Raw genomic sequence first — 12,657 nt, 5'->3', positions numbered from 1 at the left:
TCAGTAAGTCATAGGAGTTGACATTTTAGAGCATAGGAATTGCTAAGGTGGAGATGGAAGCAGTTAGGAATAACAGTGTGCTTAAGCAAAGCCTGGGAGTTGATATAGAGGCAGGATCAGGACCAGGGTGAGGCCAGTAAGGCACCTGGTATCCAGTGCACAGTCAGATTGGGAGTGAAGATGATCCTACTGGGACACCAGGCACCCCACTGATGGCCTGGGTTGATTTTACTGATCGAATCAGCTGACTAGATGTCTGCCTCCCTCCTCACCTTCCCACATGTGGCCTTCCTGGGGCTGTATAGAGAGAAGAAGAGCCTTCCCAGATAGATCATTGTTCTTTGACCAGAAGTGTGTGATGACTTTGTCTGTTATCTGGGATTCTAAGAGAATATGGTGTTCTGGTTCATCTTATTGAAGTAACTAGAATACTGAACATGAATATTATAATTTTTCAAGCAAAATATGTTGTATTAAAATGAAGTAAGTACAGTGTAATCTTCTTTTGATAATGATTTATAAGTTGCTTAAAGATCATAACAAGGCCAGGGGATCACAGCCATGAATATGGAATATCCATGTAGGACTGTTCCTTAGGTACATGAGAACTTCCTGACAATGAGTTCTGGCTACTGTTAAAAGGTGAGTAGCCAAGATGTACAGTGCTGTTCGTTTTTTTTCTTTTCCTTCCTTATTAGAAAGTAATGTATTCTCAGTGTACAACCATAATAATATTCTCCTAGGGCTGTGCCTCACCATTGAACACCATTGGAATATTCAAACAACTACCTATAGATGTTTGCTGATCTAACATGAATAAATTACAGAAGAATGTGTTTAATACCCTCTGGAGCTAAAGATCTGTATTTCTGGACTCAGATAGTGTGTAAGTTAGGTTCTTTGATAGAAAGCAGTGAAAATCAACTCAGGTGAACCTAGGCAAAGCTGTTAGTTAGCCCACAGATTTCAGAACAATGCAGAGCCAGGCTTGGAAAAGCCACAGGAATAAAGAAAACTCTAGGGCTCTTTTGGCAGGAATTAGTATTTAGGATTTTAAGATGCCACCACTGAAATGAGTCGATTCCAGCTGTTTTCCATCCTTGCATCCATCTGCTTGAGATTCGAAGATTTGGGAGAGAGTGTCCACTTGGCCAATGGGTCATGTGTGCACATCTTGGTGATTGGAGAACTAGGCACCTTGCCTTGCAGTTCCACAAAGTCAATGGAGATTTCTCCCCAAGAGGACTCTGGAATGTTATTACTAAGAGGGAGAAAGTGCATACTAGCATTAATAAATGTCCTGTACGGGGAGTTCGCACAGTCACACTGAGTGTTCAGGTCTCTGATGTAAGCAGGTTGGGTTGATGCTCTTTCCAATGAACCTGTAACTCTAAATTTAAGGTAGAGGGGCTGGAGGGAGGTGTGGCTCAAGAGCATAGCACAGTAGGTAGCTCTACTATGAATAAATGTGTTTCGTTTCTTTGGATAAGTAAGAATGGCTCTACCAGTGAGGTAATGCCCACCCATCCTCATCAGCATTCTTAAAGAAAACCAGTTCTGCCGGGCGCGGTGTCTCACGCCTGTAATCCCAGCACTTTGGGAGGCCGAGGCGGGCGGATCACAAGGTCAGGAGATCAAGACCATCCTGGCTAACATGGTGAAACCCCGTCTCTACTAAAAATACAAAAAAAATTAGCCTGGCCTGGTGGTGGGCGCCTATAGTCCCAGTTACTTGGGAGGCTGAGGCAGGAGAATGGCGTGAACCCGGGAGGCGGAGCTTGCAGTGAGCCGAGATTGCACCACTGCACTCCAGCCTGGGTGACAGAGCAAGACTCCGTCTCAAAAAAAAAAAAAAGAAAGAAAGAAAAGAAAACCAGTTCTACCAGAACTAGAATTCTACTATCCAGTGCAATGTTAACAGTATTAATAGCTTTGAAAAATCATGTAACAAAGAGAAAAAGAAGGGCTTTTGGCTTAGTTCCACACTTTGTACATTCCATTTGTTTTGTTGCTGTCTGGGTAGCTTATAAGCAGCAAGTATATAACATTTTAAATGCTGTATATCTGAAAATACAGACCAGAACAGAATAGCTATGCCATGGTGGTTAATTCACTTTGTTTAATTGTGAGATATATTATTATAGAATGTTTGTAACTCAGATCCTTATGAGGATCATAAATTAATATCAAACAAAATTTTTATCCTAAATATTTTTAAACTAAGTTGATATTAAGACATCAGCTTAAATCTCTGTTCCAAAACCATCTATATTGTTTTAAATATGCTATCTGTAAAGGATATCGTTTGCTCATTGTTATAGGAGGAAGTGGAGTAGATGACTTCTCAGATCTCTTAGATTTAATCTACTATGAGTTTGAGTCTCAAACCTTTTGTGTGACAGTAAAAATGTTTTCATTCTGCTCTCTCCATATATCCATGAGCTGAATCGCATGCTTGGAATCCAACACAGTGCCTGAGTCTTAGCAAGTACTCAATAAATGTTAATTGAGTTAAATTGATTTGTTCAATGCAACAAAAATGTATGTAGCGCTGTCTGCATTAATATTTCTCTAGCCTCCAACATGCATCTGCCCAAATACTCAAAGGATCTAAGTTCAAACAGAGATCCCAGTATATCCAGCACCACTAACAGATGGAGCCTCCGTAATTACCATGTCCACCTGTCTGCAGTGGGCTGTTCTGGGAAGGAACACATTCATCTATAATAACAATGCTGGGGAGTTGGCTGCTAAACAATAGCTTATGTTGGTAAGGATGTGATACAGAACAACTGGCTAGAATACAATGGGCTGGAAATACTGTAAAATATGCTCAGGGTTCTGGAATAATACTGGTTTTAGAATAATGTGCTTTGTGACCAAATAGCTCAGTGGTTAACTTTCAGGAGGGACATTTCCCTGTATTATGAGTAAAGCTGCTTTGACTACTATCTTGAAAAGGTAAATAAATGCACTGAAGGGAATTCTTACATGTATTATGAAACTTCTTTATATTATATTTTAGAGGAAATATATTTATAACCTTATAAGTCAGTGACAGTTTATTTAGATAATGGGTGCCTTTTTTTTTTTTTTTTTTTGAGATGGAGTCTCACTCTGTCTCCTGGGCTGGAGTGCAGTGGCGTGATCTCAGCTCACTCACTGCAACCTCCACCTCCTGAGTTCAAGCAATTCCCCTACTTCAGCCTCCCGAGAGTAGCTGGGATTACAGGCACGTGCCACCATGCCTGGCTAATTTCTGTATTTTTAGTAGAGATGGGCTTTTGCCATGTTGTCCAGACTGGTCTCAAACTCCTGACCTCAAGTGATCCACCTGCCTCAGCCTCCCAAAGTGCTGGGATTACAGGCGTAAGCCACCATACCCAGCGGTGGATGAGATGATGTAAGGATAATGGATGAGAATGTACCTCATATATTTTGAAGATTTATATAAGGGTAAGTTTCCATTATTATAAAACTTTTAAAGTTCAGTACATATTAAGAGTTTAAAAGATATTTAAACAAAATATCTATCTAAGTTATCTTTAAGCCTAACTTAATTTTATATCAGTTTAGTTTTCTATTCAAAAATTCTGTTTGTTGCTAATCTGGTCTCTTTAAATGATATCATCTCTTCTGCAAAACTCCCAGAACAAAAAGAGGACACTATAAAAATTTTCAGGTTTCTGTATGTTTCTGTGGGAATTCAGTCAAGAGCTGGTTGGCTAAGGTGATTTTAATATAAAGTTACTCAGGTACAGCATTATTCACAATAGCCAAAAGGTAGCAACAATCCAAATGTCCATCAATAGATGAGTGGATAATCAAAATGTGGTATGTACATACGATGGAATGTTATTCAGTCTTCAAAAAGAATGAATGTCTGATACGTACTACAACATGGATGAACCTTGAAGACATTATGTTAAGTGAAATAAGCCAGACACACACAAAAAAACAAATATTACACAATTCCATCTATATAAGATACCTGAAATGGTAAATTCATAAGACAAAGTAGAATAGAGGTTATCAGGTGCAGGCGGGGAAAGGTGATGGGAAGTTATTGTTAATGGATACAGTTTCTATTTGGAGTGATGAAAAATTCCCTGAAATGGATAGCGGTGATGTTGCGCAACATCGTGAATATACTAATGCCACTGAATTGAACCCTTAAAAATGGTTACAATAGTACCTATGTTATGTATGTTTTCTACAATGAAAAAAAGTGGTTTGTTCTGTACATAAAGCAAAAAAAGAAAGATTACTCAGGAAATTTTTTTAATTTGGCAAGGTATATATATTATATATATAGGGTATATATTATATATAGGTATATATTTTATTTTATATATTTATTTATATATATATATATATATATATATATGTCACTAGGGTGGAGTTGACACATCTCACAGCCTAGGTGGGTGGCCCTTTCCCTCCTCGGTGACCCCTACCTGTTTCTCCCAAGCCGTCTGCCCCAGAGATGAGAACACCATCCTCAAAGAAATTTGTTGGTCCTGGGTCCTGAGAGAGTCGTTAGTTAAAAGTGCCTGAATAATTGCAGTTTTCCATTTGAGCTTCCCAACAAGGTCTGAATGTCCTACATTCCCACAGTCAGCTAGACTTCTCCTGGGATTCTCACACTGGCACCTCAGGCTCAGCATATTCAAAATCTAGTTGACAAGTTCACAAGCTTCTCAGTCACCCAAGTTTAGTCACCTTCGACCCCCATGTCCAAGTCCCTCCACACCTGTTTCATCACCCTTCTCCTTTCTGAATTCACCAACATTGCCATAGTTGAGGTTGGAAAAACAAAAACAAACAAACAAAAAACAACTTTTGAATTAACTTTCTAACTGTTCTGTTTAATCTTCAATACTTTCTCTCTCTGTTCCAAGACATGGTCAAAAAAAAAATTATATATCACTTCTTTGGTCAGAAGACTTTAGTGGCTCCTCAGTACTTACAGACTAATAATTTTTAAAACTGCTTACATGACATTCAAAACCCTGCAGTGTCCCCACCCAGGCCTTCCCCCTGCCATGCCTTCACATCCACCCGTGCCTAGTCACATTGGGCTGCTAGCAGCTCCTACACACGGACTCAACCTGCTGTGTGCTCCGCTTCGCTCATGAGGATCCCTCTTTCTAGATTCTGCTTTCTAGACTCTGCTTGCCCTCTACCCACCCCTCTTGTGAAATACTACTCTTCTTCCAGACTCAGCTCCAACACCCTTTGTGAAGACTTCTTAGGTCCAGACTACCCCACCCCAACCCCTAATCAATTCTAATCCTCCCAGTGTTTCCGTGGAACACTGTGAGTTCCTCTTTTAAGATGCTTGCCACATTCTGCCTGTGTTATTATCAGCTTAGTGATTAAATCTCCTTTAAGGGAAAAACCACATTTTGTAGCATTTTGTATACCCTATGACACCTAGTCTACTGCCTTTCATGTGATAGGTGTTCAGCAAATACAACGAATTGGCCTGTATTTGAAAAGATTGTATTTGATGATCTCTAAGGCTACTCTAGCATTAAAAGGCCTTGGTTATATGAAATAAACCTAAGTCAAGTCTTTCTGTATCAGTAAAAATTAAATACAGCTGCAAATAACAAAGGTCTTCTTTCCTCCTCTTCTTCCCCACAACAGTGGTTTAAACAGCATAGTTTATTTTTCTTTCACAAAGAAAGTGATCCAGGGCTACTCTGGCAGCTCCACAAAGTCATCAAGAACTCAAGCCCACTCTCCACTCTGCCATCCCTAGGTTGTGACCCTCATGGTCTATCAATGGCTTCTAGAGCTCCAGCCATCACATAAGAATTCCAGGCAGAACTTCTGTTCTAGGAACAAAAGAAGGAGGCATGTCCTCTTTGACGGAAATTTCTAAGAAAAGCTATTCAAAATTTCACTGTATCTCATAGACCAAAACTTAGTTTCTTGGCCATCCCTATCTGCAAGAGAAGTTAAAGATTATAGTCTTTTAGCTTGCTAGCAACAGGCCCAGCTAAAAATAGGGACAATGGTAGGCACCTAGCAGTTTTAGCCACACTCTTATTGGTAACTTTAAAAATGGGAGGATTTCATTCTGTCAGATGTGAGGTTCTCTTCAGGATATATAGAGAAAGAGATTGGAGACAGCGAGGAGAAAAGAACTGGAGACAGGATGTGACATATCTTTCTCTTGGTATCTAAGATAAGAAATCAGGAAATAATCATGAAAAAACATCTAGCAAACTAACTGATTCTAGTTTCTATTCAATTAAAAGAAATGCCACCTTGAAGAGAGAGAAATGGGAGGGAGTGCGGAAGGCTCCATTTGACAAGCCCCCTGTTGCCACCACAGGTTGGAAAAGAAGCCAGGATAGAAGGTGCCTGTACAGGAAAATGAGCTGTCTGCTAGGATTTCTCACTGAGTTTTCAATGTAATATCGAAAAGAAATGGGAAACATTTTAGGATCATTTATTCTCAGCACAGAAATAAAGGTGCTTCTTGAGGTTGAATTGGACTCTGGTGCCTCATCTTCAGGACTGTCCTCATTAACTTGTTGGGATCTTTTACATGTCACTTAGCATAGAATCTCACCAAATAATGCTTCATTCTACACCTTTTAAAACCCACTGGTTTCCAAAAGTGTAACAAGAATAGATGGCAAAAGCCCTAAAGTAGAGAGTTAAGTACAAAGCTTCAAATTGACATGGTTAATAAAAAATTAAGGATTGCTATGAGACACTTCAGGCAAAGCTAAACAAACTAGGGGATTGGGTAGTGTGAAAGCAGATGAAATTTAATTTGGTTAAGTGTAAAGTAATGCACTTTGGGAAAAATAATCCAAACTTCTCATAATCTCTGATAGGCTCTGAACTCATAGTAAAATAATTTAAGAGTCATGGTTGATAACTTGGGGAAAATATCTGTCTGGTGTGCAGCAGCAATTTAAAAAGCCAATAGGATGCTTGGGGTTAAAATAAAAAATAATACAGAAAATTTAAGATAACATATAAAACATTAGTGCTATTCTGTGTCCAGTTTGGGTTATCACAGGAGATATTAAATCCCAGAAAAGAGACTTGAAAATTGTTTAGAAAAGTAGTGAGACTTGGGATTTATATAAGCTTGCTGACTTGGAAAATGGCATTTTTGAAGAAGGAAAAGAAGGTGTGATACAGAGAACAGGAATAATAATAATTTAGAAAGGGCTACTTCCTCCTTGGTTCTAGTGTCCCATGGTATAAAAAGGCAACACTTAGTGAATTCAACAAAAAAGAATATGTAACAAAGATAGAAGATGGTCTTTAGCCAGTGTTCCGTAGTTGTAGATCTCCCTGTTCCAGGAGGGGACCTGTATTTGATTAAGGGGCACAGAACTACATTAACATTTATGTCTGTTCAGCTGAGAATGAGTAAGTGAAGTGTAAGGAAATCCCCTGTGGGGCGCAGGACGGAGCGCTGCTGCAGAACGAGGAAGGTTCAGTAGAGTGCTGCTCACAGCCGGGAAGGGAAAGCTGAACAAAAAGGCTCAGTGGCAAACCCAACTGAGGCATGTTCAATTTTTCTATTACATACAGAATATTTATTTTTCCTCCACCTGTACTCTCATGATTCAGCATTTCCCACTGCAGCAATTGGCAGGGCTGTGTCTCTGAGGCACAGTCTGGTGTAGGCTCTGACAAGGGATGTCCCCGGGTGGAATAAGCAGGGGTGGGGAGCAAGGCTAGAAACATGTTTCCCTAAAGTCAATATATCGTGCTGTCTTTCTCCAGTGGAAACTGTACTAGCATTAACCTGGCCCTTGACCCCACTTTAACCTCACCTCCTGAAACCCATAATCCCGGGTTATCCATTTCCCAAATATAAGTAACTACTGAGCCATGCTTCCTGCTGTGAACACAGCCTGCCCGGTGACGGCAGTACTGTTGTATTGACAGATATGTCTGTTACCAGCTGACACCTTGGAGAACTGATTGATTGGCTCAAACAAAAATCTAGAGATTTATTTGAAGGGCCAGATAGGTCCTTCACAGCATTTTCTCAGTTCAAGATGTCACTTCTGCCTTACGCACAAGAAGCTAAAGAGCAACCACACTTTTACAGGTATTTAGCCAACAGAAAACAACCCAATTTCCACCTAGTCCCTGTGAAATTAGCATCTGGGCTGAGATTTACTGGCCACTCTTCATAAGCCATATATCAGCTAAAATGATGCCTGAAATCAATCCCCCAAATACCGTGAGACTCCACTTTTCCCCTTTCCATGGTTTCTCACATCCTTAAAGCACATTAGCACTCATACGCCTTGTCTTAGTCTGCTTGGGCTGCCATAACAAAGTCCCACAGCCTGAGTAACTTAAACAACAGACATTTATTTTCTCACAGCTCTGGAGGCTGGAAGGCTGAGGTGAAGCTGTTGGCCAGGTTGGTTTCTTCTGAAGGCCTCTGCCTCGTTTGCAGACAGCCATATTCTTCCAGTCTTACATGGTCACCCTTCTATGTCTGTGTCCAAATTTCCTCTTCTTAGATGAACACCAGCCATATCGGATTAGTGCCTACCCTAATGACTTCACTTAATTACCTCTTTAAAGGCCCTGTCTCCAAATACAGTCACATTCTGAGATATTGGGGGTTAGGACTTCAACATATGAATTTTGGTGGGAGACACAATTCAGTCCATAACACCCCCATTTTACCATCGGGAACTTAAAATTCAAGATTTAATTACTTTCCCTAGACCATGTGGCAGGCCGCTATTAAATTGTCATTAGAATTCCCAGGCCCCCTTCTCTGTGTATGAGAAGCTTCCAAACCACAAGCTGCCCCCTGCTCACTTGCCAATCAAGGACTCTTCTTAAAACACAGCATAGCTCCACCACCCAAAACCCTCAGTAGCATTTTAAATTCAGGAAATCTGTTTTATCACAGGAAAAAAAAAATTAGTGCAGAGATATGTGAATGAAGGGACAGATCTCTCCATGCAGTGCCCCAGGCGCTGGGGAGCCATATTGTTCGTGCTGGGTGATATTTTTCCAAACAATACTCCGCAGTGCAGCACCAGCCAAGCAACAGCCCAGCAACCACATGCAACCTGTTCCTGCCAGTGGGGATCACCACATTCCGTACAAAAATAAAGAGCTGTGTTTACTGCCCAATTCACTCATCAAGAACACTCTGATCCCAGAGCAAGCATAGGGAACCATTATATTCCTCCTTCACAGCCCTTCCAGGGGAATTAGGAATACAGCTCTGCTGTCATTTTATTTTCTGCCCAGAGCCCTATGAAAGTGAACTCTGATTATTAATATTTTAAGCATGTAAACAGCAAAACCCCATCCATGTCCTCGGTCTTGGTATCAGGATCCGGCACCGTGTGGGAGGACCCAGAAGCTGAGGGGCAGGCTGTGGTTCAGACATTGAGCACCCAGGAGCCATGTGGCTGGGTGTCTGTCAGTTAGGAATCCAGGTATCGGCCCTGGCCTCATGAGTGTTTGTGTCCAAGCTAGCCGCCTTCTTCTTTTGTACAAATGTAAGGGGTACAAGTGTAATTTTGTTATACAGCTATGTTGTGTGATGATGAAATCTGGGCTTTTAGTGTATACATCACCCGAATAAGGTATGTACATAGTACCATTCAGAGATTTCCCATCATCTACCTTCTTTCCACCCTCCCACCCCTCCTCGTCTCCAATGTCTATCATTCCACACTCCATGTCCACGTGCACACATTAGCTCCCACTTGTGAGAACCAAGCTAGCCTTCTAAACCTCTCCAGGATCTTTCTCTGGTGACAACAAAGAAATGAAGCAAGAGAGTGATCGGAGATGAGGGCAGGGGCTGCAGACTTGGCCAAGGCGTAGCGCATAGCAAAGGCCCAAAGAACTGAGTACCCTTCCAGTTTAATTGGTCCTTCAGAAGAATGGAGAGAATAGTACATTGGGGGACTAAGTGGGAAGAGATGAGAATTGTATTAAAAGCAATACAAATGTTTCTTTTTAAGGAATGGAAAGAGATTCTTGAGAAAGGCGACCCACACACGCGCACAAGAAAACATCAGCACTCATGCAGGAACAACGAGAGGCCATAGGGAAGTATTTTTAGCAAGTGGAAGTCAATCACAGCAGGGAGAGAAGAGGGGTGGGTAAAGAAGGGGCCTGGAGCCTCGCAAGTAAGCCCAGAGCCCTGCAGTGGAAGCCACCTAAACCAACACCATTCTCCCTCATCCCGTGCCTCGCCAGGATCGCTTGGAATGCCACTGGAGAGGCAAGATGGTTTTAGAAACAGGAAATTGGAAGTGTTCTGCTTAAAATGCTTCAGGCTCTGTGTGAGAGAGAAAGAGAGGGTCTGTGTGTCGATAAGAGGAGTGCTTGTGTGGACGCTCCCAGGTCGGCTTGCGGGCAGCTGGGCGGCATCAGGCGGGCCTGGCCTTGTTGACTGCTCTCATCAACAAAGGCTCGCTTGTTTTGCTAGCCATTTTCCTTGCATTTCAGAACCAAGGGTCCTTTCTTCTTTTTTCTTCTCTTGCATCAGAGAAAGCTGTTGTGTGCGGATGCTCAGGAAGGTAAACATATGCATTTTAATATCTGTGGCTCCCCCACAGTCAGTGAGCTATTTCCTCCACCCAGGTGGAAAGAGGATAGCGGGCCTCTCTGACATGCTGGTTAGTCTGAAAACAGACCGCTAAATGCGTAATGAAGAGCCTCCGAGGAGTCAATCTGCATGTTAAAATGGTGTTCAGCAGCCCGGGCTGTCACACAACATAACTTGAAGATGAATGTGCATCCAATCAGACGGCCAATCGCTGACTGGGAGGGTCCTGGCTATTAGGATTACCTGACTGCTCGGTGGCAGTGGGGTTTCCAAGGGGCCACAAGTTAACCAGCACCCCCCAAATCTGTGACAAGACAAATGAGCCCTCTCTTGGGCATCCCCAGATTTGCATGGTCAGAATGATGCCGAGAGACAGTCTGAACCAGAGAGGAACAGTTAAAGAAGCGGGTATTGATCCCAACAGAAAGACACAGGGCTTTCAGCACGTTGGAGTCCAGGGGCTGGAAGCGATAACAAAGGAAAATGTTCAGCTTGACACTTGGAAGCAGAAAGGCAGGTTCTGAGCAGCCCCACACCAGCAGGTACTACCTGCCATAAGGTTTGTGTTGCAGCCACTGCAGTCACTGCTGCTGCCACCACAACTACAGTTCATAGCCAGTAACAGCCTTCACATGAATGATGTGTAGACACCACTTTTGTCTCTGAACGCTTGACAACAATTAGGACCTGACTCCAGGAGCAGGACGTCACAGGAACACCGGAATACTGGAGAAATGAGGTTAGAGCAAAGAAATTAGCCATCTGCCTGGTGAAGACTGTGTCCTCGAGGTAGCATTTACATAGGAACAACAGGCAACACGTATCCATTTTCATTATCCTGTGCTACAGATAGACAGAGGACAAAAGGGCTTTAAGAACCGTGTTTTCTTTAAGGCCCCTGTACTTAGCGAGGCTGTATGTCCTTTTTTCCCCTTCATTCAAAATGCCTGCTGGAGCTGCAGCTAAATGACAAGCCCTGGGGAAGGATTCCTATCAGCTGGAAGTTTTATGCATTGCTCCTTTTTTGAGGTTCCCAAACACTGAAAATAGGCAGCCTAAAGCCAAATTTGGAGCATAGGAAAGGGCAGCAAATACAATTGTAAGGCTCTACTTTGAATGTTGCAAATCTCCATCTGAAAGATGGAGGGAAAAAATATTTTTAGGTGAAAGGTGATTCCCAAATTGAGCCCCAAAGATGTTCCAGCAGCTCAGAGCTGTGGGGTTGACATCAGAGGCCTCCTGTCTTAAGTGAAGCCTCACCCATAGACATTGCAGGTTCTGGGTGCGCACACCACTAGCTCTGGCCAGCTCCTCGGCAGTAAAGAAGCTCAGTTTGCAGTTGATCCTTGGCTGAACTTTGCCATTCATTACAGGACAACCAAAAGGGGCACCAGGAAGGCCCACCTCCATTTAGCATGTCTATTGCCCTCCTAAGAGCCCTGTTAAAGTGGGGAAAGCCACTTTTCTACATATATATATCAGCTAACACTTTTATCTTTGTGTCCATGTAAACTGTTAATATTAGTTTCACCATGCCAGCTTGATCAAAAAGTCAGTCCCAGCACAGTGGCTCACACCTGTAATCCTAGCACTTTGGGAGGCTGAGGTGGGAGGACTGGTTGAGGCCAGAAGTTTAAGACCAGCCCGGGCAACATAGTGAGACCCCCATCTTTACCAAAACAATATTTTAAACTAGTTGGGCATGGTAGTGAGCTCCTATAGTCCAAGCTACTCGAGAGGCTGAGGCAGGAAGACTGCTTGAGTGCAGAAGTTTGAGGCTGCAGTGAACTATCATTGTGCCACTACACTCCAGACTGAGTAACAAAGTGAGACCTTGTCTCTAAAAAAATCATAATAAAAAGTCAGTGAAAGTATTGAAAAATGTTTGGCTGATTTTTTTAAAAACTGATTTGACTCGTCATGATTTACGGGATGGGCATATAAATCTAGATTTATTACTCAGATCTCTTTGTCCCCTCCCTTCCACTCCTCAACAAGTTCCCTCAATGCTGCATTCCATGGAACAGTTCCCCGTGGTATCCAGCAACCCTTCCATCCAGTCCAATTCAGCCTCT

General features: G+C 42.3%; 1 protein-coding gene, 1 long non-coding RNA gene and 1 pseudogene across 3 annotated transcripts in view; all 3 read left to right on the top strand.

Moving 5' to 3' along the window:
* The window catches only part of MAML3 (mastermind like transcriptional coactivator 3), a 437,432-nt gene that overhangs the window by 359,581 nt on the left and 65,194 nt on the right, over positions 1–12,657 (top strand). The gene's annotated exons all lie outside the window — the stretch shown is intronic.
* RN7SKP253 (RN7SK pseudogene 253) lies at positions 171–479 on the top strand (annotated as a pseudogene).
* On the top strand, positions 3,315–12,464 carry LOC124900782 (uncharacterized). The gene is made up of 2 exons (XR_007058277.1): positions 3,315–3,456; positions 6,270–12,464. It is a non-coding gene; the product is annotated as an uncharacterized LOC124900782 (long non-coding RNA).

Source organism: Homo sapiens, chromosome 4, assembly GCF_000001405.40.
Source record: "Homo sapiens chromosome 4, GRCh38.p14 Primary Assembly".
Lineage (NCBI taxonomy): Eukaryota > Metazoa > Chordata > Mammalia > Primates > Hominidae > Homo > Homo sapiens.
The sequence above is the reverse complement of the archived record's forward strand: the minus strand, read 5'-3'. Positions and strand labels throughout refer to the sequence as shown.